The sequence below is a fragment of the Homo sapiens genome, chromosome 15 (genome assembly GCF_000001405.40).
Source record: "Homo sapiens chromosome 15, GRCh38.p14 Primary Assembly".
NCBI lineage: Eukaryota > Metazoa > Chordata > Mammalia > Primates > Hominidae > Homo > Homo sapiens.
Window position 1 is genome coordinate 90,581,006 of NC_000015.10, and position 26,537 is coordinate 90,607,542.

Consider the following 26,537-nt stretch of genomic DNA (forward strand, 5'->3'; position numbering starts at 1 on the left):
TGCTTAGGAACACTTTACAGCTCAGCCTAAGGGAGAACATATCAGAAGCATGGCTGGATGAGAAAGGAGTGGCCTGCCTGGGAAAGTACTCCGTTCCCATCTTCAGAGGGGTCTGGTGGCGGCTAGATGGCCTTTGGTGAGGATGCTGTCTGGTTGCATTGGCTGGCCCGGAAGATCATTCCAAACTCTGTGGCTTATGAGTCCAGACAGAACAGGACAAGGACACTGTGTGTGTCTTTTCATGAGCTAGTGGCCAGATGAGGAAAAGTACCCTATGCTCTTTTAAATAAAAAACAGGATGTAAGTTTTTTTAAAAATTCAATATGCTTTATTTAGAATTACCATGTGCTTTATCTAACTAAATATTCCAGAGCATTTTATTCTTTCCAGACATGTTTTCTCTTATACTTTCCTAGTTCCTTTGTGACATCGTATGCTTATTTTGTCCTTTAAAGTTATCAACAGTGTGAAAAAAAGTTGTTTTGTTGGCTGGCTGTATGGTAGAAAACACAGCCTTCATCTCTTTTTTTGGCATATATGTAGAAGTTATTGAGTTAAAACTGAAAAGGCACCTTTAATTTATGACAGTATCATAACTTTAATTAAAAAATCAAACTTGTTATTTGGAAATGTAAAATCTTCCCCAAAGTAGAATAAAGAACCCCCATAGACTCATCACCAGATTCAATATTTTTCAACATTTTGCCACTCTTGTTTCATCTGTCCCCTCCCCTTTGTTTTTTCTCTTTTAATTCCAAATTACAATCTCTTCTAAACTCAGTGAAGTGTCCTACCAAGTTGAATCACAGCGGTGGATCTGGTGTGATTCAGAATGCAGTGGGGGTGAAAGGAGGGAGTCGGCAGGCTGACAGGTGCCTGTCTTTTACATATATTTCCTACGGCAGGAAGAGGTTGGTGTGGGATGAACAGAGGCTCAGGCACTTTGTCTCCTTTCCTGCTTGGCCTGAAGTGCCTACCTGACCCTTGTGGCCTCCAAGGGTGCCTTTGGCCAGTTGCCTTACCAGCCACTAGGCCGGACTCCTGCCACTGCTCAAGTCTTAGTTGATCAAAAGCCAGTTCTTCCCTTCTGCAGTTCCTTTCTATCACCATAAGAAGCAAATCAGCTTCCTCTGGAGGAGATAAATGGGCAAACCTGATTTACCCAGAACATATTTCTCTAGTCATTGTCTTATTAGCATTAAAGTTAAAAGGAGAACTACACTCAACGGAAGGCCTCCCTCACCACCCAAAGATATCACACCAGGTGGGGAGGTGGGGATGGGAACAGGCAGTTTAAAACTTCTACTTCTGTGGAGGCTTGGGTGGCGCTCTGTGGAAAGACAGTAAAGTGCCTTTAGAGGCTTGGGTCTGCATTCACCCTGCTATGCCATCCCTGAGAACTTGAAGCTGAAATTCTTCATTTTATCGTGGAAATTTGTAGCTGTACAGAAAAGTAGGAGTAGAATAAGAAGCTCCCATATAGCCCTCACCAGTTTTTAATAACGATCAACACTTTGCATTTAAACTTTTTGATTATGCAGCCTAGTAGTAAAAAGAGTTTTATATCCCCAATTTGGGTATGTTCTTTGTTTTTTAAATTATGTACATATAACACTGTATTGTTAATATTAAGTATACAAAAAAATAGAAAGCTAAGTGGAAACAGAACTTCTAATGTTTTCCCCATACCCTATGCCATCCTGTAAATCCCCTGGGGGTACACATTCCTCTTTGGAGCCAAATCATTTAGAAACATTATGTAATTCAGCAAACACGTGTTGGAGCCCACTGTGTGGCTGACGCTGTGCAAATGCTGGAGGGAAGATGCTGGGGGAGGTCTCACTGCTTACAGCCTGCTCCATCAGGGTCAGGGAATGAACATGATCCATCTTCTCCAGGTGAGAAGCTCTGCCTGAGACATAGACCTTATTCTCTGCCTTTTCTTGAGCAGGATCCCCCAGCATGAACTCTGGGCGTGTTTTATGCATTGTCGTTATTTCTTCTTCTTTTTTTTTAGAGATGGGGTCTCATTATGTTGCCCAGGCTGGCCTCCTATTCTTGAGCTCAAGCGATCCTCCCACCTCGGCCTCCCAAAGTGCTGGGATTACACGTGTGAGCCACCACCACACCCAGCCATTATTTCTTATTTTGAGAAATTATTTTGCCTGGCCCTCTGTGATCATTTTGATTGGTCTGATTTTGACTTTACCTGCTAAAAACAAAACAACCCCAAAACTGTTTTATCTCTATCATTTTCTGGAGTCACCTTTTAACTTAGTTTATCTGTTAACTTTACTTCCCTTTTATCTTTCATTTAAAAATACAGACTAGGAAGGGGCAACACAAGGGCCACAGACATGGTGATAGGCCAGGTCCTAAATCAGCAGGTTGGGTGCTGGTGCCTTCTCTGGTCTGTTCTGCTCTTCATCTCTTCTTTTCATGCCTCACAGCAAGACTTATTTGGTCCTTTGGAGAAGATTGGATCCCCAGATCAGCTGGTCAAAAAAGGCATAGCCTCCAGGTTAAAAACAAACAAAAAACCCATCTAGGTGGTTCAAGGGCTCTGAAAGTCTAATCACTTCTGCGAGACTGGAATAGACTAGCCCCAAAGATAGTGTAGTGCTGGCAGGCTGCTGGGGGAAAAGCCTTCCAAAACCCAGAACAGCTGGGAGCCTCACAGGAGTTTTGTGAACTGAAGCCCCTGCCTGCTGGCATACCTAAGCACTGCAGAGGGCAAAGGAAGAGTGTTGGGGGCTGCTGTCAGAGAGGCTGGCTGGGTGCTGGCAGGTCTGACGCTGGAGATTTGTTATACATTTTGAACTTCTCTTGAAGTTTCTCTTTTCTTTTTTTTTTGAATGATGTTATAATAGGGTATTTAACCAAGTATGACATCCTTTTTTATTCCGCTTAGTTTGTAAGGTAGACTTAAATGATCCATTTAACCCCAAGGCAGTGTGAATTAATAGCAGCCCCTTTGTTGTGGACAGGCCTTCACGACTCCCCCACTTGTCATGAGAATCAAAGGAGGTGCTGGCAGTGCCTAGAATGATCTCCAGCTGGGTTCCCAAGAGAGGCACAGTTGTTCCTTTGTTATTTAGACTTGTCCTTTTTAAAAGAGGGGGGCTATAACATCTTCCATTAGCTTCAGTCTGCATATAAATAAAGAGCCCTGCAAGCTTCAGGAACCTGCCTTACTTCCTAAACTTGATAAATTTCCACTCTTCACCAACGCTTTTTTTTTTTTTTTTTGAGATGGAGTTTCTTTCCTGTTGCCCAGGCTGGAGTGCAGTGGCACGATCTCAGCTCCCTACACCCTCCACCTCCTGGATTCAAACAATTCTCCTGCCTCAGCCTCCCCAGTAGCTGGGATTACAGGCATGTACCACCATGCTTGGCTAATCTTGTATTTTTAGTAGACATGGGGTTTCACCATGTTGGTCAGGCTGGTCTCGAACTCCTGACCTCAGGTGATCCTCCCGCCTCAGCCTCCCAAAGTACTGGGATTATAGGCATGAGCCACCGTGCCCGGCCCCCAGCAGAATTTTTAAAAAAGAGTTGTGGTCTCATTATGTCGTCCAGGGTGGACACCAACAGAAATTTATTTAGTACTGGTGGCCAATCTGTCGCACATTTGTCAAGAACTAAAGAAGTAAACTAAAGAAGAACCAAGCAGCATCATGGGCAAGCTGGAGGCCCAGTAGAGCTAAGTGATGAGTTTAAGGATGCCGTTAGAGCCAAGCATTAACGGCAGATAGGGTAGATAGACACTACCCTATCTAGTGTCTCTACTACCAGCTACGTTTCCAACCAGTCTCCTCTCCTACCCAAGCTCTGTTGGAAACAGATACAAACCCAAGTATACAGAGGAATTAAGAAGGGTTGGGGTAGCATTTTAATTCTATCAGAGGAAGCATTATCGTCAATGAATAGCTTTGTGACTTTTAGCTAACCGTTTACATAAATATTAAGTTAGATACTTACTCCAAATGAGACTACTGGAGCCAACGTCAATTTGTAGGTGTGCCGTTTGTATTGCATCATAGTCAGGTGTCTTAGCAAGACTGTTAACCTGTAATTGAATCTTAAATCTTCAGTGGATTTAGAAGAATGTAATACAATTTATCTGGAGAATTTCTTTTTCATTTTTCTTTTTTGAAACAACAAGGTCTCGCTCTGTGCCCCAGGCTGGAGTGCGGTGGTATGATCATAGCTCACTGCAGCCTCCACCTCCTGTGCTCAAGGGATCTTCCCACCTCAGCCTCCCAAGTAGCTGGGACTACAGGTGTGTGCCACTGTGGCTAGCTAGTTTTTAAATTCTTAGCAGAGACAAGGTCTGGCTATGCTGCCCAGGCTGGTCTCGAACTCCTGGGCTCAAGCAGTCCTCCCACCATGAGCTCCCAAAGTACTGGGATTACAGGCATGAGCCATGGTGCCCAGTCTGGAAAATTCCTTAATATTTTTTTTTTTAACTTCTGTATATATCAGTACAAATCTGTGTAAAATCTCAAAAAGAATTGATTTTATGTAGGCTATATAGCAAAGGAGGCAAAGCGGTGAGGTAAAGAGAATACTGAATGAGGCTCGGGATCCTGAGTTTTAGTTTTTAGGCTGCTACAAACTAGCTCTGCAATCTTGAGAAAAATCACTTCAGCTCTCTGTACCTTGGTTTCCCATCTGTAGAAGGAAAGAGCAGAATTCCACTCCCTCTTGCTTTTACTTGTGTTGCTTTCTCTGCTAAGCCAGCAACTCCAGTTCCCTTCCTTTGCCTATCCCCACCTTATTTTCACCTACTGCAAGCTGGAAAATGAGATGCCTCAGTTTGTTAGACCTGGGTGGGGTGTGATGCAGAACTGGAGGGGTTCCTTTCTAACTGCTGTCCTCTGGGGTTCTTATCCATTTTTGTTATTTAGGGGCTTTCTTTGCTTTCTGGCTCACCACTGAGATGGTTGAAATTGCCACATAAATGACCCCTGGCTCAAGCTAGCACATTGTCCTCATAGCATAAAATAATGGTGACATCACATTCCGGTGCAGTCCTCTGTAATATTGAAGCTTCATGCAAGTACCCATTCCCAGTGTTGACGATGGTATTCCAGGAAAATATGTGTTGCTCTTGCAGGAGTTTTATCACTTTTTTTCTTGATCACGAGTCATCATGAGGTCTGTCATTGAAGCTACTAAGAGTTGTCTTATGTAGAATTGCTTCTGTTTGAGAATATCGATTAGGCACCCCTTTGTACAGATGCTGAGGTTGTGGTATTCTGGATCAATACTTTTTCAAAGTATTAACCATTTATATGCTTAATCCTGGTTTTCTGCATGTTTTTAATATATTTTTTAAAACTTGGTAGAACTTCTTTTTTTTTTTTTTTTTTTTTTGAGATGGAGTCTCGCTTTGTCGTCCAGGCTGGAATGCAGTGGCACAATCTCAGCTCACTGCAACCTCTGCCCCCTGGGTTCGAGCAATTCTTCTGCCTTAGCCTCCCGGTAGCTGGGACTACGGACTCTCACTACCATGCCCAGCTAATTTTTGTGTTTTTAGTAGAGACGGGGTTTCTGTTGGCCATGGCTGGTCTTGAACTCCTGACCTCATGATCACCCACCTTGGCCTCCCAAAGTGCTGGGATTATAGGTGTGAGCCACCGTGCCTGGCCCTGTAGAACTTCTTACATGGAAGGATGTATTTGGTCATACCATTAGCATTTAGAAACCCATATTTCACTTCAAGGTATTTGGAAATTACATTTCTCCTGTTTTTAATAACTGTATAAAAATACAACTATAAGCTAGGATTTATTTTGCTACTTAGCTGCAGAAGAAAAATGTATGTCTTGATTGTTCACACATAAAGAATATACTGTACCATATATGCTTTTGATAATGATAATCTTCCTAGTTGATAATAAACAACAACTCTCCAATTCTTGGACTTCAGCTCATTTCCTAACTTAGCGTGGGCTTATGTAGGAATCTGCTTATGGTTTACCAGTCAAGTAAGATCTGGGGTTTCTAATTAACCACAAACATAATGATATGCCAACAGTACAGTACATCTACCCAAACAGTTAATGCAAATGTAGGTCACATTGATAGATCAATAGTGTCTAAATTAGAGGAAGTAATTTCCCCCCTAGGTGACGAAATCTAGTTGCAACTTTTCAGCCATTCATCCCAGGCTGCAGCTTTCAGATGCTATGTGATAGGTAGGTGTGCACCTACACGTAACTGATATCTCATCTAACTGAGCTCTAGGTCCCTTGGGGAAGTACTCCGGGAGTATGGTACTGTCTGCCGTTAGCTCTAAACTTCTACCTGGAAATCCACAACTCTGCTTCTTTTGGAAGATTCACACGTCCTGTTTCATTACAGAAAGAGTTCTGCCGTTAGCATTAGCCATGTCACTCCCCTCCCCGGTCTATCTAGCACTGGATCCCAGACACTGATGTGGAGAACCATTTCTGTATGGAGGCACAGAAGCCTTCTCTTCCTCATTTGATGTCTAGGTCCCATGTTCTGAAACAGTAGAGTGCTTTTCAGATCCTGAGCCTAAGGCCCTCCTTAAAACACATAGAGTCCTATTTACAGGTTCGTTTCTTTCTTGCTTGCTTTCTGTATTTATTTACTAGAGACAAGGTCTCCCCTCTGTCACCCAGTCTGGAGTGTAGTGGCAGGATCTCAGTTCACTGCAACCTCTGCCTCCCAGGCTCAAGTGATCCTCCTGCCTCAGCCTCCCAAGTAGCTGGGACTACAAGCGTGAACCACCACACCTGACAAATTTTTGTATTTTTTGTAAAGATGGGGTTTTGCCATATTGCCAAGGCTGGTCTCAAACTTGTGAGCTCAAATGATCCACCCACATCAGCCTCCCAAAGTGCTGGGATTACAGGCCTGAGCCACTATGCCTGGCTCCCATTTGCAGATTCTTTTGACTTACACCTCCCTTGTTCTTCAAGAAAATGGGGCCAGGCACAATGGCTCATGCCTGTGATCCCAGCACTTTGGGAGGCCGAGGGGGGTGGATCACTTGAGGCCAGGAGATCGAGATCAGCCTGGGCAACATGGCAAAACCATCTCTACTAAACATAAAAATAAAAAAATTAAAAAATTAGCCAGGCATGGTAGCACATGCCTGTAATCCTAGCTACTCAAGAGGCTGAGGCAGGAGAATTGCTCGAACTTGGGAGGCAGAGGTTACAGTGAGCTGAGATCACGCCACTGCACTGCAGCCTGGGTGACAGAGTGCGACTCTGTCTCAAAAAAAAAAAAAAGTAAGAAAAATGGGACTCTCTATTTCATTCAGTCTCTCTCTGTCATCACTACCATATTAGCCAGCTTTGCTTTAGTAACAATCCAAAAACTCAGACTCTCAACAAACATTTATTTTTCACTCATATTACTTGTCCGTGGTGCTGGAATACCTTCTACGTCTCTCCTCTGTGTATCTTCTCCATCTGCAACTGAGGCTGAAGGAGCATCCCCTACTTAAGACATGATAGTCTCATGGCAGAAGGAAAAGAGTATGAGAGTTTCTGTTTGAACAATATGAACATCACATTTGCTCATAAGCCATTGGCCAAAGCAAGTCACATGGGCCAGTCAACTTTTTTTAGCCATTCATCCCAGGCTGCAGCTGGGTGACGTCAGAGGTGACTTGGAATGGCAACAGATGGTGCCTGAGCTGTAGGACCGTTGGGGAGCACCGTGGGAGGCTCAGAATGCTGGGGCAGTCCCTAATAGTGATGCTGCTGCTCCTGACCACGAAAGGACTCTGCAGGTCAGCCCCACCTTTGACAAGATGCTTCCCAGGGTTCCACCATGCAGACACTCATCCTCCTTTCCAATGTCCGGGTATCCCTGGGACAAGCAGCTCTTATGTATGTAACATCATTTTGTCTTCTCAACAAGCCTGTGGAAGTTATTATCATTTCCACTTTTTAGATAAGGAAGATGAAGTAACTTGTTAATAAGTGGAACATCTGAACTTGAACTGTTTCTTTGACTCCGAATCATATGTGTTTTTGGGGTTTTGTTGTTGTCGTCGTCGTTATTTTTATTTTTATTTTTTTTCTGAGACAGAGTCTTACTCTGTCACCCAGGCTGGAGTGCAGTGGCGCGATCTCAGCTCACTGCAACCTCCGCCTCCCGGGTTCAAGCGATTCTCCTGCCTCAGCCTCCTGAGTAGCTAGGATTACAGGCATGCACCACCATGCCCAGCTAATTTTTCTATTTTTAGTAGAGATGGGGTTTCACCGTGTTGACCAGGCTGGTCTTGAACTCCTGACCTCATGATCCACCTGCGTAGGCCTCCCAAAGTGCTGGGATTACAGGCGTGAGCCATGGCGCCCAGCCTGTTGTTATTTTTAAGAGACAGGGTCTTGTTCTGTCACCCAGGCTGGAGTACAGTGGCTCAATCATAGTTCACTGTAGCCTGACATTCCTGGGGTCAAGGGATCCTGAGCCTCAACCTCGGCCTCCTGAGTAGCTAGCACTACAGGTGCACATCACCACACCAGCTAATTTAACAAAAATTTTTGTAGAGACAGGGTCTCACACTGTGTTGTCCAGGCTGGACTCAAACTCCTGGCCTCAAGTGACCCTCCCCTTTGGCCTCCCGCAATGCTAGGATTATAGGCGTGAGCCACTACAACCAGCCCAAATGATATATTCTTTGAATGGCAACGTGCAATGTTTAAAATACTGGCCGGGTGCAGTTGCTCACCCCTGTAATCCTAGTACTTTGGGAGGCCGAGGCATGTGGATCACTTGAGGTCAGGAGTTCAAGACCAGTGTGGCCAACATGGTGAAACCCAGTCTCTACTAAAAATACAAAAATTGGCCGGGTGTCGTGGCTTGTGCCTGTAATCCCAGCTACTCAGGAAACTAAGGCAGGAGAATCGCTTGAACCCAGGAGGCAGAGGTTGCAGTGAGCCAAGATTGCACCACACTCCATCCTGGGCAACAGAGAGAGACTCCATCTCAAAAAATAAAAAAATTAAGTAAATAGGCTGGGTGCAGTGGCTCATGCCTGTAATCCCAGTACTTTGGGAGGCTGAGGCGGGCGGATTGCCTGAGGTCAGGAGTTCGAGACCAGTCTGGCCAACATGGTGAATCCCCATCTCTACTAAAAATACAAAAAAATTAGCCGGGAGTGGTGGCATGTTCCTGTAATCCCAGCTACTGGGGAGGCTGAGGCAGGGGAATTGCTTGAACCAAGGAAGTGGAGGCTGCAGTGAGCCAAGATCATACCACTTCACTCCAGCCTGGGTGACACAGCAAAACTCCGTCTCAAAAAAATAATAATAAAATAAATAAAAGAAAATACTGTATGTACTCTGCAGATATAACCATGTAAGAACTTACATGGATAAAACTTGAAAAGGAGTAGAAAAAGTGAAGTGCTTGGCCTTTTGAGTGGCACGTAGTATTTCTTTGTCACCCAGGCTGGAGTGCAGTGGCATGATCTTGGCTCACTGCAACCTCTGCCACCTGAGTTCAAGTGATTCTAGTGCCACCATGCCTAATTTTTGTATTTTTAGTAGAGGCAGGGTTTTGCCATGTTGCCCAGGCAGATCTCAAATTCTTGACCTCAGACGATCCACCTGCCTCGGCCTCCCAAAGTGCTGGGATTACAGGTCTGAGCCACTGCACCCGGCCCAGACTTAGCTCCTTCAGTTTCTGGCTTCCCTAACTGAACAGCCACTCTAATTCATTTGATGAGGAAGATCTTTGAGAAGTAATTGAGAAGGTTAAGCCAAATATAGTTTGGAGTAAGATCAGATACTGCAGGGGCAGAGAGTTGAGATTAGGCCACAGTGAAGAAGAGAAGAAAATATCAAATGTAAGCAGAGATTAACACCCCACAACTGAATACCAGCAGTAATACAGGATTTGGGCCAGCAGCAGGGTTAATGCAAAAGAGGCAGCTGTTAAATCGAAAATAAGAGCTTTTGTTTTGTTTTTTGTTTTAGAGACAAGGTCTTGCTCTGTTGCTCAGGCTGGAGTGCGGTGGTGTGATCATAGTTCACTGCAGCCTCGAACACCTGGGTTCAAGTGATCCTCCTGCCTCAGCCTCCCCAGTAGCTAGGACTACAGGTGGGCACCACCACGCCCCACTATTTTTTTTTTTTTAATTTTTTTTTGTAGAAGTGAGGGCTTGCAGTGTTACCCAGGCTGGTCTTGAACTCCTGGCCTCAAGTGGTCCTCCCACCTCATGCTCCCAAAGTGCTGGGACTGCAGGCATGTACCACCATGCCTAGCTAATTTGTTTGTTTGTAGAGCTAATTTTTCTTTCTTTTGTAGAGACAGGGTCTCACTATGTTTCCCAGGCTGGTCTCAAACTCCTGGCCTCAAGCAATTCTCCCACCTCCGCCTCCCAAAGTGCTGGGACTCTAGACAGGAGCCACTGCACCCAGCTAGAAAATTTAATAGGAAGTCTAAAAGACATTTCAGGAACTCTCTGCTTTTGGGAACGCCTTCTAAAGACCCTTCTCCCCACCTTGTGGACTGGCCTTCAGGAGCCCAGTTTGGCAGTAATTGTGCAGTGGCTCAGGCATGTAATCCCAACACTTTGGGAGGCCAAGGTGGGTAGATAACTTGAGGTCAGGAGTTCAAGACCAGTCTGGCCAAAATGGCGAGACCTTGTCTCTACAAAAAAATAAAAATGTAGCCAGCATGTTGGCATGCACTGTAGTCCCAGCTACTCAGGAGGCTGAGCCTGGGAAGTGGAGGTTGCATTGAGCCAAGATTGTGCCACTGCACTCCAGCCTGGGCAACAGAGTGAGACCCTGTCTCAAAAAAAAGAGATCCTGTGTCCTCATTGCATCTTGCCAAGAAGCACCTGATGTCAGTTTGTCCCATTATTTTTCAGGTATTTCAATATATTATTCTCTAGAATAGAGTATTCCATTGTCTGAGATAAATCTAGCTTCCCTATATCATAGTGGCTATTTTTCTTCCAGCCCAGAAGTTTTTCCTTGGTAAGATAACTTTATTTTGTGAGTTTATAGATTTGGATTATAAAAATAGATCGGAACTGTTAGACTAATTTGGCCCAGAGATTTTATGAGTCCACTTGGGAGAAATAGGAGTAATTCTCAAAACCAAAATGAGAAAATCCATGTTTAACAAAGAAAAATTAGTTTTTAGCTGAAGGAAGTCCCCTATAAAAACATTGCGTCACAGGATTCCTTTCACAGTAAGCTACCAATTTTATATGTGACTCAATTGACGTAAAACTCTGTTTTAAATGAATAGTATGTGAGGTGATGGATATGTTAATAACTTGATTTCATCATTTTGCTATGTATACATATATCAAAACATCATGTTGTACAGTGTAAATATATACAATTTTTCTTTGTCAGTAACACCTTAATGCTGGAGGGGATGGGAGAAGAAAATCTGTTTTCTATATTTCACAAGCACATCTATTGCACAATGTATACACATTGCCTCATTATGTGAGATTTATTGGCCCAGCCTAGGATTTGGCTTTTGACAACCAAAAAGGTTGCCCTTTGTGATACCAGTCTCAAAAATGTTAAGAACGTACCCCAAGCATCTCTTTAAAAAGGATTTTGGATTTATTGACCATGAATTTATCTACAATCTGTTTCTGCTTTCATTTGTATCATTTAGGGACTGATGATTTGTATGTTTTCCACTTGTATTTACATAGCATTCCTTTTTTCCTCTTTAACTCAGGGGTTACACACTCTGAATGTCTAAAATGATGAGTCAGTGAAATGGTTTGTGTGTAAGGATTCATAGTAAGAGAGTGGGTGTCCCATCTACAGGGAGCAGCCATGCTCAACTTGAGCCTGAGATGAGTGCGGCTCATTGTGGCCAAGATATTTTGATTTATGGGTGGGTGCGGTGGCTCACATGCCTGTAATCCCAGCACTTTGGGAGGCTGAGGTGGGCTGATCACCTGAGGTCAGGAGTTTGAGACCAGCCTGGCCAACATGGTGCAACCCCGTCTCTACTAAAAATACAAAAATTAGCTGGGCGTGGTGGCGCACATCTGTAATCCCAGCTACTTGGGAGGCTGAGGCAGGAGAATCACTTGAACCTGGGAGGCGGAGGTTGCAGTGAGCTGAGATCACGCCATTGCACTCCAGCCTGGGCAACAGAGCAAGACTCCATCTCAAAAAACAAACAAACAAAAAAAATTCTGACTTTTCCCTAGAATCCTCAAGTCTGAATTTTCAAACATTATGAATTCAATCAAAAATTTTAAAAGACACTGTGCAGAACAAATAGGTGCCTCGTGGCTTGCCAGTTTCTTTCTTTAATATACCTCTTTTACATTTCAAAGTGTCCTTTCTAGTTTTCTGGGATTTAGTATATGAGTTCACCGTCTTCTGATTCTCCTCCCCCAATTGCATGACAACTTTTATTATTCTTTCAGCTTTCCTCTTAACACACTACAGATTATTTGTCATTATTTTATGGTTATTATAAAGAAATAGTTCCATATACTACTTTATTTACCTTGACCCAAGGCCCACTAATGTATAATAAGTAAAACTGTAAAATCGGTCCTTTCATCTCCTGTTGTTATCAGTTGTTCTTGAGGGTGAGTGTCAATTTCATGGTTGGAGGCCAACTCTTCTTCCCTTCTCTCTGCAGCCGTCATTTCACCAAGCTGATAATGTTCGGGGAACCCGCCATCACGGGCTGGTGGAGAGGCCATCCAGGAACCGCTTCCACCCCCTCCACCGAAGGTCTGGGGACAAGCCAGGGCGACAAATATCCTTTTTTACTCTTCAAAGGGAGTGTGCATTCTGAAATGTTTGAAAAGTTTTCAGGATTTATCTTCCCTGCAATTCTCCTTTGGCCTCAGAATCTTCATTTATCTGATGAAAGGAGGCAATACAAATAAATGAGTTGGAAACTAGAAACATCTCTGCAGTCAACATTTGGAAACATCATTGTAGGTGTTTATGAAAGCATCAATAAAGTTCAGTTTAATGAAATAACAACAAAAACAACCTGTAATTCGGTCCCATTGCAGGGTGTTCTGAGCATTTTCTCCAGAAATTGGCCACGTTAGAGTTAAACCTGACTTTGAATCAGGTTAGAGAGCCTTAGTCTCTTTAGCAAAAATGGACATAGAGATATGTGATTTATTTGTACTTCTTTTGATCTGCTGACCTGCTTTTGGAACTTACAGACAAAATTTCATATTATTTTCTATTTGTGATGTTTCAAACTCAGTAAGTGATAACTAAAATAAACCTAGAATATAGGAAAATCTCATGCAGTGATGTACAGTCACACCAAACTCTGCTGTTAAGTAGAAATAAAGGAAAGGAAATGGTGAATTCACCTGACAGTTTCATTTAATCAGTCCTGTTTACAGGGCGGCAGTGGTGGGTGCAGCTGTGTGACCAGCATTGTGCCGAAGGCTTTGGGGAACAGAACTGAGCTGGATTTTTTGGGAGAGGACACAGAAGTGTGCCAGGAGGGCCCGTGCTCTCACTTCATTCTTCTCAGTACTCGGGCGCAGGGGTGGAGGAAGGAGAAGAAAGGCGGGGTGGGTCTCGCTGCGGAGAGCTGAATTCCTGGCAGTGATGGTAGAGTTGGCTTCACAAGCCTAGAAACCAGGAAGTGGGGGCAGGGCACTCATGTTTACTGAGCACCTACCCATGCCAGGCGCTGTGCTGGGTAATTTATGTGTCACTTAGTCCTCAAAAACTCACTGAGTCGTTAATTTTTTTAACCCTCATTTTCTGATGAGGAAACTGAGTGTGTGGTGAAGTAACCCAGGATTCAGACCAGGCCCCGCTGATGGCCCAGCCTGTGCTCTCCCCTCCCTATGCCACCTGCGACCATTCGCAGTGATGAGGACCTTGTACAAGGGAGCCAGGAGTTGTGGGGGCACTCTAGGGAAACCCCAACTTTTCTTGCCTTCAAGCTTCTTGCAGTTTTTAGTCTATTTGGAGGCAAGGATAATGACCCCAGGGAATGTTTTTCTCTCCCCTTTCTCCCGCCCCCAGGAACACACCACATTTGGTCCACAGAAGGACTGACTTCTGATTTTGTATATTATGTGGCTGTTATCAAGGAAAGTAAAGATGATAAATGATCTTGAGAATCTATTCTGGAATGTGTGATAACTTTGACATTGAATGAAAAAGGCAAAAGGAAATGGAGGCAATTCATCAGCAAATTTGTACATGTCAGGATGGAGTGGTACATCAAACCGTTGTCCAAATTGCCAAGAATATTCAGGCAAAAGACTTGGAGTGTTTCTTTGATTGATTTAACAATGTATTTTTTTTGGCTGGGCATGGTGGCTCACGCCTGTAATCCCAGCACTTTGGGAGGCCGAGGTGGGCAGATCACGAGGTCAGGAGATTGAGACCATCCTGGCTAACGTGGTGAAACCCCGTCTCTACTAAAATTACAAAAAATTAGCCAGGCTCGGTGGTGGGCACCTATAGTCCCAGGCTGAGGCAGGAGAATGGTGTGAACCCGGGAGGTGGAGCTTGCGGTGAACCGAGATCGCGCCACTGCACTCCAGCCTGGGCAACAGAGCGAGACTCCGTCTCAAAAAAAAAAAAAAAAAACCAATGTATATTTTTTCAGTTCTCAGTTCCCTCTTTTTCCTGTCAGTGCTCTCATTTCTATATATTAGATTAAACATTATGCTATATATACGTGTGTGTATGTATATGTGGCTATCTCAGATACTTTTGAAGTACGGTCTAAATGTATAAGCATGCATATAGTTTTACTAACCAAAATAGAGAAGGGAATTGAAGAAAAAAGAGGAGAATGTTTATTCACTTATAAAAATTATTTGTTAAGTATGTGCTAGTGGTCAGACACCGTTTTAGACATTTTAATTCACTGTAACAGTAAACAGCATGGTCCCTGACCTCAAGTTGCCCAGGGTTCAGTGGGAGAGGCTACTCAGCAAACAAGCAGCCACGGCAGGTATGGCGTCTGCAGGGAGGCAGCTCAGGGGCTGTGGGAGCACGTCGGAGGTGCAGCTTGAACTAGTCTGGGGAAACGAAGAAGGCATCCTGGGGGAACATCTGAGGCTTGAAGGATAAGAAGTAAGAGGATAAAGTGTTCATTCAGCAGATCTTTACAGAGCCCCGTCTCTGTGCCAGGCACTGTTCTAAGCACTGGGGACCCAGTGATGAATAAGGGAGGCATACTTCCTGCTTTCTTGAGTTCACAGTCCTGTGGGAGATGACAGCAAACAGGCAATAAGAAAGGAAAATGGTTTTAGATGGTAATGAGTGAGATTTAAGAGAGTAAAGCAGTTGGGAGGTATGTTCCAGGCAGAGGGAAGAGAATGTGGTGCAAAGTCCTACCCAGAAGGGGAGATGACTTCTTGTGTTCAGGGGACCCTATCTCTTATGATAGGGTATAATCTGGCACTGTATGGATCAACTTGAGAGCATAAGCAAAGCTAGTCAACTCCTAAAGGAAGGAGAAACAAAAACCAAGTTAATATGCAGAGAAATTAAAGTTATTAGACAGTATGAGTCAGATTCACTGATCATGAGCCATGTCTCTGTGGTCTCCTAAGCTCCTAAATTGGGTTCCTGGGACTGGACATCGGTTGATGCAAAGAAAGTTCTTTAGCCCAGTCTCTTTTGAGGAATCAAGGGTCCGTGAAATGGGATGATTTTATTTTGGTGTTAATCTATTCCACTTGGAGGAGGAGGGCTGTGATTCCGTCTTTGCTTTCACGACCTGCATTCTGTTGGTTGTGAAATAATCTGCTTAAAATTGTGGCCTTGAACATTTGTCTATGACTTTTTAAATGAAGTTTCTTCATTTGAAAGTATAAAACACTAGTTTGAATCTTTGTTAGAACAAAAGGAAAAAATCAGAATTATTATAGCTGTTTCTTGGCTTGGGTGTTATTTAAGACACACTGGCTTAGACAAGGGTTTTAAGGGTTCACTCCTATGATAGGGTGATCTCAAATAAAACGAACATTGTTTAACAAATACTCTGGCCTCCTCTCAGAGTGGGCAGCCACAGCACGCAGAGCTCTGCCACAGGAGATTCCTTCTGGAGTGGGCTTTGCCCTTGGCATGGGTGGCCACACAAGACCAAGGCACAGCTGCAGCTGGGCCCTGGCCTAGCCCCACACAGGCGGAGGAGAGGCACTGCCAGGGCTTGCTCCTGGCTGGGGGCCTGGGCTCGGGCACTTGGAAGAGAAGCTCTTCTGCCCTTCTGCAGATGTGCAGTCTGTAGCAGCCCTTCTTACTCTCACTCATCAAGGTTGGCAGACGTGCCGTGTCCCAAACACCATTGCTAAACTTCTGAACTATTAACATAAATTTATAGCAAATAAAATATTTTCTCAGCCTTGTGGATGACACGCTCAGAAGGAAACACGAAATGCCTTCCTTGAAAGGAAGTCAAGAGTTCACCAGCGTGAAGGGTCGTGAAGAGATGCCTAAGACCTACTAGAGTTAGGAATGATTCTCCTCTCTGGGCTGGGCCTTGCTTTGATTCTTTTCATCATAATGAGATGAAAATGTTAGGACATTGGTTTATAGGACACTGTTTCTTTGAGATGCATGGCCTATTACATTTGAGAAACACCATACTCTGTATCACCTCTTGGAGCCTGACCGTATATATCAGGGCTCTGAAAAGTCCTGCAGTTAATAAACTTCTTATCTTTAACCCAGAATTTCAAAACTTAAGTGATCACAAAATCCAACTGTTACCTAACACCCGTCTTATCTTGAAGGACAAGGAAACATTGGTCTTTAGAATTTTAAGGGGGAAATATTCTGACTTCACAATACCACATGCAACCTGTTTGCCTCTCATTTGCTGAGGGAAACAGGATGTTCTTATAAATGCAAGGACTCAAAAAGATGCCACTCATATCCTCCCTTACAGTTTCACTTTAAGATGTCTTCTAGTGGGACATAGTTAGAGGTAAAGGGACAAAAAGAAGTAGAATGACAATAAACACATGGCTGAGCAATCAGGAAGGAGCCAAATTGTGGCCAGTTTTATATATTAAATCTGACCCTGAAACTTGTCTTGGTAGGTGGGTTCTGTTAACCAGACTCCGAGCCCACTTACCCCACCAGCTACATGGAAGGTCTCAGGCCTGCCCCACAAACTGTGTCCCTGGCAGAACACAGAGTTCCAGAGCAGGAGAGAAATGACTGGCTTCCAGGCTGCCCCGACAAGGCAGTTCCTGAGCCCTGCCCAGGTACACTGACCGCACAGGGACGGGAAGCCAAGAGAAGGGAACCCTGGGCCTGCTCACCCAGCCGCAGGTCAAGCAGCACAAAGAAAGGGCCAGGGCGGGTCTTGTTTTCAGCTTCTGTGGCTCAGTAACCCCACCCACTGGTAAACTGGCCAACTGATGTCCTCTCTTATCAGAAGAAGAAGAGCTGCTCCCCTTCCTTTGGTGAAGAGTAAGAACTGTTCCCTCTAACACTCCACAGGTTGAGAGGAACAGCAGTCCCTGTGTTGATGGATTGAGGCAGTAACTCGAGGAGGAAGATTTTCCTGCACAGAACTGCAGAGGCTTGGGGAGAGAGAGAACACACTGGGATGACTCTGAGATCCTAACATGAGTGTCTTGGTGGACGGTGGCCTCACTAAATGAGATGGACTATAAGAAGAGGAACAGATTAAGGGGACAGTGATTGGTTGGATTTTTGGTAGAATTTGAGCTGTCTTGGGTACTTTTGGCAGAGAACTTGAGTAGGCAGTTGGAAGTATGCACTTGGAGTTCACAAAAGAACTGTTGGGAGCTGGAGGTGTCGATTTATGAGTTACTGGACTGTGGGTGACAGTGGGGCCGAGGGAAGGATGCGATTGGCCAAGGCGAGCATGGAGGACAGGGGCTCTCTACCAGGAAGACGGGCACTGGCCCTGAGGCTCTTAGGAAGCGCCTCCTAAAGCTCCTGTGCCCGGAGGCTCCCGCCACCCCCTCCACCTGCTCACACTCTGCCTGGTGCCCAGGGATCCTGAGAGCATCCTTTGCCTCTCAGAGCAATGCAGGCAGGTGTGGCCTGAGGCTGCGAGGCCACAGGACCCCAGGGAACATCAGGACGGAAGGCAAAGGGGCGGAAAGGAGTGCACAGAGGGATAAGAAAAGATCCATGTGAGTGTGGGGATTTTTTTTTTTAACTTTAATTTTTGTTTCCATCCATTGCAGCCACCTCTTCTTTGTTTATCTTTTTCATCATCCCTCCTCCCTGCCTTCCTTTTTTAATGTGGAAATCTTCCTTGAGCCAAAGGCTTCACTAAGCTTAACTAAGGAAGCAATGGAGGAGGCGCTGATGTGGTTGTTAAAAGCCCTGTGACCTGTGCTGCCCTTCCGCTGGCACGCTGGCACCTGGCAGGGATGCCAGAAATGTTTCTTGAGTAAATGGTAAATTCAAGTTTATAAATAAGAGTGTTTCCTTTGTCTCGAGGTTGTTACTTAGGGCATGTCAGTGTTGTGGAGTAGTTTAAAGCCACCTGAATGAAGTTTTCTGAAGTTTTCCAAAGAACAAATAAACTTCTTCTAGATTTTCCTTGCATTAAGTATAAGTGTATAACATGAGTGGTTCTCTTGGGTTTTCAAATATCCACTAAATTAGATGAGAGTGAAAATTAAGAGAGCTCAGAGGTCACATCTTTCAACTTTTGATGCCTCAACCTAATTATATTAAAAATTTCCAGGAATTTACTATATTTTCATGTTGTTAATATCAGGAAGGTTAAAATGCTAACTTACACCTCAACATTGAAATCACCAGCGTTTGATGATTACGTGACTATTACACCACTGCATTCTAATTTGTATTATCAGTACTATGAGATCAGAGATACTGAGTTTAAAGATGGCAGTGTACTGAGAAAAATGGTAAACTTCTACTTCCTGAAATTAAGCGTTTCTGAACAGAGATTCATCAAATCTGCAGAAAAGAGAAAGGCAGATAACCGTAGGTTCTGAGGCTCGGTGTTTCCTCCCTAATGGCTTTGCCAACAGAAATACTGACAGGTTTTGTCTGTCACGGGCCTTACTATTTATCACCTTTTCCTCTCCTACCTCCTACTGTGGTCTTGCCTCATCTGTACTTCATGTACCTTAAGCCTAATAGTGAATGTTGAAGAAATGTCTCTCTTTGGAAATTATCTGTTTTATTTTATTGATTTAAGGTCAAATTAAGAAATAAGATAATGAGACTTGTCAAAGAAAACGAATACATAGAAGATGAAACTTGCAATCCTAATGCCTCTCCTGGCAAAGAAGACATTTCCCACCAAATCACTAAGAACTCATGAGAGCCTCCGTTTTCCTAATTCCAGATTCTGTATTTATTTGAGCTGCCCAGCCCAGGCCTGCAGGATAGGGCCCCACTCCATCAAGGCTCCTGTTTCCTCCTGAGCCCGAGCAGATGGTACCTTCTCTTATAGCCTCCATCCTTCCCAGAACACTCCAGGTACTATTTTCTATTTTCTGGGGGCATTTGGCATAGTTCACTGTTTCCTGAGAGGCAGCATAGCTTAGCGGAGAGCTCTCAGGCTTTGGTGTCAGTGATTTGTGGGTCTGACCCCTGATCCACCAGGCGTGCTATCTGATCTTGGATTTCTCAGCTCTTCTAGAACTGAGCCTCAGTTTCTTCAGCTATAAAATGGGGAAAATATCTGCCTCTCAGGATTGAGGTTAAATAAAGTGTGAACTCAGCACAGGCCTGGCACACAGTAGGTGCTTAGATATCTGTTTTCAAATTTCTGTCTTAATGTGTAGTTTGTATCTTCTTTATTATTTCCACCTTAAGAAATAAAAGTTTGGGATGAAAAGTATTATTGGTAACTGCCGAATGTATATTTAATCCAATCAGTGATCCAGGAGACAAAAGGAATGGGCTTGGTTTGGGTGAGTGATAAGGAGGCAACCTTCCACATAGGAGGTGAGAAAGGGGAAATGGCCTTAGCAAAGGCAGAGGGGCAGGAAAATACAGGCTGTGTTTGTGGAACTCAGAAAGCTGGAGGGAAGACAAGAGCAGAAGAGACCATTGTCCCCAAATTGTGGATCACCGCAATTACTAAGCCAGTAAGTTTTGATTTTGCCTTTTAGGCTGAACAAAATCATTGAAGATTTCTTAGCAGAATAATATGATTAACAGTGTCTTCAGAAGGCTATTGTGTGGGAACAATTAACTAAACGAATGAAAACAGCGCCCCTCTGCTCGGTGTGTAGTGCAGCATCCCATTTGTGTCTCCGTGCGTCCAGAATATGCTCCAAGGCATGGTAGACCCAGTGAACAACACAAGACTGATAAGACAGTGCCCCCAACAACACTGGAAAGTTTACCTTTCTTCACACATCTAATGCGCCTCTTTTTTGGTTATAAATACCAGGAACCGCCGGGCGCAGTGGCTCACACCTCTAATCCCAGCAATTTGGGAGGCCGAGGTGGGTGGATCACCTGAGGTCAGGAGTTCAAGACCAGCCTGGCCAACGTGGAGAAACCCTGTCTCTAATTAAAAAAAATACAAAATTAGCCGGGTGTGGTGGCGCATGCCTGTAATCCCAGCTACTCGGGAGGCTGAGGCAGGAGAATTGCTTGAACCTGGGAGGTGGAGGTTGCAGTGAGCCGAGATTGCGCCATTGCACTCCAGCCTGGGCCAAAAAAAAGAGTGAAACTCCGTCTCAAAAAATAAATAAGTACCAGGAACCCACCTTAACTTAAAAAAAGAAAATGTATTGGCATATGTCACTGGAAGCCCAAGGGCTAGATCCAAGGGGTCATACAATGTCATTGAGACCTACCTCTGTGGTACCACTTCTGAGATGACTTCAGGCATAACAGACAGGCTTTCTCCAAGGTGAAGACCCCCAGGTTCAGACGGCCCTTGGGCTTACCAGCCCTATTGGGGCACTCCTTTTTTTTCCACTCAAAAGCACTCTCCTTGGTTCTGTTTGCGTCGTGAGCCGATCCCTGAGCCAAACACTGTTTCCAGGGGGTGAGGTACCTAGACTAGAATCCTGGGCCTGGGTCCCTCACATGTGGCACAGAGGGAATGGCAGTGTTACCAGGTTTGGAGCAAGAGTGGAGACAGTTCCTGAAAACAAAAGTTGCCGGACAGGCAAAAAATAATAAACACCCCACAAAAAATCATGCAAAGAAAACACCGGTTAGAAGACAGCAGAATAGACTTGTCCTCAAGGAGGGAGATAAGAGAAAGCATGAAGGAAGAGCTGTCAGGTACAGGGATAAGGAACCAAAAACTCAGTTGTTTAACTCTCTGTGAGTCCACCTTGTTAATTCTGCTTCATCTTTCCATTAATTTTTATTTTTCCTTTATTAAAAATTCTACTTTGATGGTAGTGCTTTTGGAGCCAATTATTCCTCACAGCCTCTGGATGAGAGTTGGCCAAGGTAAGCAAGACATACTTTAAAAGATATGATGGGCATGTGTTATTTTTAGATAATTTCACTTTATCCACTTTGAATGTTGTTTAGAAATTTCTAATATAAAGCATAGAATCCTGTTTTCTCTTATAACATTTAATTTCAGTGGGAGGATCACTTGAGACCAGGAGTTTTGAGGCTGTTGTGTGCGATGATGGGGCCTGTGAATAGCTACTGCACTCCAGCCTGGGCAGCATAGCAAGACGCCATCTCTTAAAAACAAACAAACAAACAAAACAACAACAACAACAACAACAACAACAAAACACCTTATTGGCCGGGCATGGTGGCTCATGCCTGTAATCCCAGCACTTTGGGAGGCTGAGGCGGGCAGATCACAAGGTCAGGAGATTGAGACCATCCTGGCCAACATCATGAAACCCCGTCTCTACTAAAAATACAAAAATTAGCTGGGCATGACAGCACATGCCTGTAATCCCAGCTACTTGGGAGGCTGAAGCAGGAGAGTTGCTTGAACCAGAGAGTCGGAGGTTGCAGTGAGCTGAGATCACGCCACAGCACTCCAGCCTGGTAACAGAGTGAGACTCCATCTCAAAAAACAAAAACAAACACCTAAGCATTTCCAATGATAGGCTAATATGAAAGTCTAAAATGAAAAGTTATTTAAAGAAATCTAGATCTTCATATTTAAAACCAAATAGAAACACTTTTGGAATATATTTACCAGCAGAATACTCAGATATGGCATTCTTATGTTTGAGACTTAGAAAAATAAGCATCTTGGCCAGGCACGGTGGCTCATGCCTGTAATCCCAGCACTTTGGGAGGCCAAGGCGGGCAGATCACAAGCTCAGGAGATCGAGACCATCCTCGCTAACACGGTGAAACCCCGTCTCCACTAAAAATACAAAAAAGTAGCCGGGCGTGGTGGCAGGCGCCTGTAGTCCCAGCTACTCGGGAGGCTGAGGCAGGAGAATGGCGTGAACCCAGGAGGCGGAGCTTGCAGTGAGCCGAGATCACGCCACTGCACTCCAGCCTGGGTGACAGAGCGAGACTCCATCTCAAAAAAAAAAGAAAGAAAAATAAGCATCTTTTCTCAGAGTGTCTTAGTAAGCTGCTGAAAAGGACAAAAGACTCTTAAAATGGTAATTTGCACAGTGTATTTGATTTAAGGTCTCTTTGAGTATTTTTGTACCCAATACAGAGGGTAACAGGAAATAGAATTAACTGAGAAAAAGCCCCTGCTGCATCTGTTGTGTGCCTAGTATCATTTTCAGATCACCAAGTCAGATTTAGGACACATTTAAAATGTGTGTATCAAAAATATTTAGCTCTCCGGATTGAAGTCTACTCTCCATCCATTCTCTGGGCAAATACTGACTGAGAACTTACTGTGTATAATGTAGTCTGGATCTGGGAAAGGAAATAAAGATGGGTAACAGTGGGTCCCCACCTCAGGTAGGTTTTCAGCTGCCCTCAAGAATCTTGGGATCCAGGGTTGTAGAATAAATACAATATTTTATTACATCAGTAAAAGTCATCTCCAAACTGTTATTTTTCTTTTATGTATCCAAGAAATGTCTTCTGCTTTTCAGAGCACCAGGACTGGTTAGACTTAATATTTTCATACCCTGGGCAACTGTAACAATTCTATTCCTCTTCATGGCCATTGGTAGGGGAATGCAAAATTTTTGCATCCAAGATTGCCACGGCGCCCCCTACATGCACACTGAACTCCTCATCTGCCCAGCTAGCTAATCCTGTGCCTTATGGGTTTGTAGTAGTTTTTATACTGGAAATCAGAGATCACAGGACTGGAAGGATCATGGAGTCTTACCTCATTTTAACAATGATGAGCAAAATGAGCGAGGTGTGGGGTATTTTTAAGTAACTCTTGCAGAGCGAGGTGAGTAGAAGAGCCAGTTCTCAAATGCAAGTGCTGAGGCCCTCCTTTGCTGTCTGTGGATTGACTTCTTTTCCTTTTATGTTGTTCTGGTTTTTAAAGGCAGCAGCCTCCTTGGAAAGACGAAAAGCATCCTGGGTTCAGGCTGACATCTGCACTTAACAGGTACATGGGTTGTTTCCTGGTAGGAGTAGATTTTAAAGCAATTTAACTGTCCTGATATTTTTTACATAGCATCCAGTTGCCAGAGTGTGTTTATGTAAGCTGTGTTGATATGACATGTTCAAAACAAAACCCACCATTTTTTGAGTGTCTACAGGGGAAAGTATAGAGCACACGAGGTCTGGGATGAGACTCCCAGGGTTTGCATCTTGCTGTATGACCTTGAGTAGATTTTTAAACTTCTGATTGCCTCAGTTTACTCATTTGAAAAATGGAGATAATGCTACCTAGATCATGGGTTGGTTGTGAGGGTTGAATAAGATAATACCTGGGAAGCATATGTGCTGAATAAACATCAGCTATTATCATGATCACTTTGGGCCAGACTCCAGGAGTAAGAGTTCTACCTCAGCCATTTTTTTTCAATCCTGACAACACCCTACAAGAATGAGTATTATTTTCCATTCTAAAAGGTTAAGTGACTTGTTTAAGGGCCTTAGCTAATAGGTGAAGGACTAGGATTTGAAAAAATGCAGCTGAGCATGGTGGCTCACGCCTATAGTCCCAACACTTTGGGAGGCTGAGGCCAGAGGATCGTGTGAGTCCAGCAGTTTGAGGCCAGCCTGGGCAAGATGGTGAGACCCTGTCTCTATGAAAAAAAAAAAGGCGTGGTGGCACGTGCCTGTGGTTCGAGCTACTCAGGAGGCTGAGGTGGGGAGGATCACCTAAGCCCAAGGAGGTTGAGGCTGCAGTGAGCCATGTTTGCGCCATTGCATTCCAGCCTGGGCAAGAGAGAGACGCTGTCTCAAAATAAAAAAGAAACCCGATGAATGGTGCAAAATTTTAAATATACTCAAACAGAAGAGTTATAAAAGGCCTGTGGTGCCCATCCTCAGCTTCACTCATTATCAGCATTCTGCCAGTCTCTCCAAACCTACCTCCCACCTCAGTCCCGTGACTGGCTAGTATAGTATTGTACCTTGAAATGTCTCCAGCAGTTTAAGGCCGACGAGAACCTTTTTTAAAAAACATAACCACAATGCCGCTATTACACTTAACAAAATTAAAAATAACTCCTTAATATAATTCAATGCCTGGTCGGTATTTAGATTTTCCCAGTTGGCTCTGCATTCGTTTGATATTCTCTTGAGTCTCTTTGAATCTGTAAAAAGAGGCTGGAATCTGAACCCAGGTCTCTCTGATCTCAGCGGCCACGCTCTTTCTGTTGCACTGTGGGTTCTGCCCTTGTCTGCCTCTTCCCTCCTCTGAAGCCACGTGGCTTCATAGCCACCTGAGGCTGTCACTGGAATGAACCACAAAGAAGCACTGTAGGCTAATGAAGTTGCTTACCGTAAAGTCCTTTCTATGGCCGACAGTTTGACCTTATGATGAGATAAATAGATAATCATCTCTTGCAACCAAAGCTGTGTAGACATTGAAGCTATCTGGGAGAATTTCAGAAATTTGCTATACATTAGTGGCTCCCACATTTTCTTTTAGGACTACTTTACAGCCTTAAAAAACATGGAGGCCTGGCGCAGTGGCTCATGCCTGTCATCCCAGCATTTTGGGAGGCCAAGGCGGGCGAATCACCTGAGGTCAGGAGTTCAAGACCAGCCTGGCCAACATGGTGAAACACCGTCTCTACTAAAAATACAGAAATTAGCCAGGCATGGTAGCGGGTTCCTGTAATCCCAGCTACTTGAGAGGCTGAGGCGAGAGAGTCGCTTGAACCCGGGAGGCAGAGGTTGCAGTGAACACCACTGTACTGCAGCCTGGGCGACAAGAGTGAAATTCCATCTCAAAAAGTAACACTAGTAAAATAAAATAAAATAGGCCAGGCACAGTGGCTCATGCCTGTAATCCCAGCACTTTGGGAGGCTGAGGCAGGTGGATCACCCGAGGTCGGGAGTTCGAGACCAGCCTGGCCAACATGGTGAAACCCCGTCTCTACTAAAAATACAAAAGTTAGCTGGGCATGGTGACGCACGTCTATAATCCCAGCTACACGGGAGGCTGAGGGAGAAGAATTTCTTGAACACGGGAGGCAGATGTTGCAGTGAGCCGAGATCACACCACTGCACTCCAGCCTGGGCAACAGAGCGAGACTCTGTCTCAGAAAAAAATAATAAAATAAAATAAAAAAAATATTGAGGCCCTCAAAGAGTATTTGTTTATGTGAGAATATCTATTGATATTAGAAATTAAACTGAGAGATTTTTTAAAGATACTAGTGAATTAAAAAAATAATAAGCCCATTACATGTTAACATAAATTATATCTTTTTGAAAAGAAACACAAAAAAAGTATTGAAAATAGTGACAATGTTCACCTTTTACAAATCCCTCCAAGGCAGCTGGGTGGTCTGTGCCTGCGCTCAGCGGTGGGGGCATCACACCTCACGTGGCCGCTGGGGAAGCCCGCCGTGCTTGGGAGAGAGCGAGAGTGAAAAAACAGAGGACACTTTACTATCATTTTGAGAATAGTCTTGATCTTACCTTCTCCCTGGAAGGGTTTTGCAAACCACTGCTCTAAGTGATCCTTTACTTAGAAACAGCTACTCTCAGGTGGAGAAAACCTAGTGCAGCCACAGGCTAAACTGGCCACAGCCAGCTTCCGAGCTGGGAAGAATAGGAAGCTCTTAGACGGAAGCCATGAATCCGAGGCCCACCTTGTTGAACTTGATCGCCATGCCATCAGCTTCAGCATATAAGGCTATATGAGTCTAAGTTAAAATATTCTGGAGTGTGGGCGATCCTCAGAGGCTGTTAATTGATATAAAGAACTTCAGGTAGGTCCTAACCCCTTATTTGATGGTTGATTATAAATCAGTTATTCTTGCCTTCTTTCCTGTTGGTAATATTCAACAAAGACTATTGCATTTTCACTAAGGAAAACGGATTTTCAGCCAGCCTCTCTCCTCCCCTCCTTAGGACCAATTCTGATTCTGCTCTTCACACGAGTGCTCTGAGTACCAAGCCCCAGGACCCCTATGGAGGAGGGGGCCAGTCGGCCTGGCCTGCCCCATACATGGGTAAGACACACAGGCCACTGCTGACAGCAGCTGTGCTTGCTCATTCTGTCCTAGGAACCAAGGG

The 26,537-nt window shown here is 44.3% G+C and overlaps 1 protein-coding gene and 2 long non-coding RNA genes across 5 annotated transcripts in view, besides 5 other annotated features; 2 read left to right on the top strand and 1 right to left on the bottom strand.

Moving 5' to 3' along the window:
* CRTC3 (CREB regulated transcription coactivator 3) overlaps positions 1 to 26,537 on the top strand; it is a 115,423-nt gene that overhangs the window by 51,083 nt on the left and 37,803 nt on the right. For both annotated transcript variants that reach the window (NM_022769.5, NM_001042574.3), the window contains exons 3-6: positions 12,631 to 12,750; positions 21,319 to 21,380; positions 23,380 to 23,442; positions 26,373 to 26,473. In NM_022769.5, the coding sequence (NP_073606.3) occupies positions 12,631 to 12,750; positions 21,319 to 21,380; positions 23,380 to 23,442; positions 26,373 to 26,473 (346 nt within the window). The remainder of the gene's footprint in view (positions 1 to 12,630; positions 12,751 to 21,318; positions 21,381 to 23,379; positions 23,443 to 26,372; positions 26,474 to 26,537) is intronic.
* Positions 2,320 to 2,831: an enhancer, noted in NCBI's record as "OCT4-NANOG hESC enhancer chr15:91126557-91127068 (GRCh37/hg19 assembly coordinates)". NCBI's record gives its function as "activates a minimal SCP1, AML or CMV promoter by ChIP-STARR-seq in naive H9 embryonic stem cells {active_cell/tissue: H9 hESC(naive)}" and the evidence as "EXISTENCE:reporter gene assay evidence [ECO:0000049][PMID:30033119]".
* Positions 2,832 to 3,343: an enhancer, noted in NCBI's record as "OCT4-NANOG hESC enhancer chr15:91127069-91127580 (GRCh37/hg19 assembly coordinates)". NCBI's record gives its function as "activates a minimal SCP1, AML or CMV promoter by ChIP-STARR-seq in naive H9 embryonic stem cells {active_cell/tissue: H9 hESC(naive)}" and the evidence as "EXISTENCE:reporter gene assay evidence [ECO:0000049][PMID:30033119]".
* LOC124903555 (uncharacterized) lies at positions 12,355 to 14,973 on the bottom strand. 2 transcript variants are annotated; one of them, XR_007064758.1, is made up of 2 exons: positions 14,886 to 14,973; positions 12,355 to 12,857 (listed from the first exon to the last, which is right to left on the bottom strand). It is a non-coding gene; the product is annotated as an uncharacterized LOC124903555 (long non-coding RNA). The 2 variants fall into 2 exon arrangements; XR_007064757.1 differs by lacking the exon at positions 14,886 to 14,973 and adding an exon at positions 13,331 to 13,415.
* Positions 13,059 to 13,559: an enhancer, noted in NCBI's record as "H3K4me1 hESC enhancer chr15:91137296-91137796 (GRCh37/hg19 assembly coordinates)". NCBI's record gives its function as "activates a minimal SCP1, AML or CMV promoter by ChIP-STARR-seq in naive H9 embryonic stem cells {active_cell/tissue: H9 hESC(naive)}" and the evidence as "EXISTENCE:reporter gene assay evidence [ECO:0000049][PMID:30033119]".
* Positions 14,955 to 15,024: an enhancer, noted in NCBI's record as "active region_10080". NCBI's record gives its function as "activates an Ori minimal core promoter by ATAC-STARR-seq in GM12878 lymphoblastoid cells {active_cell/tissue: GM12878}" and the evidence as "EXISTENCE:reporter gene assay evidence [ECO:0000049][PMID:35858748]".
* Positions 17,192 to 17,486: an enhancer, noted in NCBI's record as "tiled region #4613; K562 Activating DNase matched - State 5:Enh". NCBI's record gives its function as "activates a minimal TATA promoter and a strong SV40 promoter by Sharpr-MPRA in K562 cells {active_cell/tissue: K562}" and the evidence as "EXISTENCE:reporter gene assay evidence [ECO:0000049][PMID:27701403]".
* On the top strand, positions 18,022 to 19,800 carry LOC124903554 (uncharacterized). Its single transcript, XR_007064756.1, has 2 exons — positions 18,022 to 18,109; positions 19,303 to 19,800. It is a non-coding gene; the product is annotated as an uncharacterized LOC124903554 (long non-coding RNA).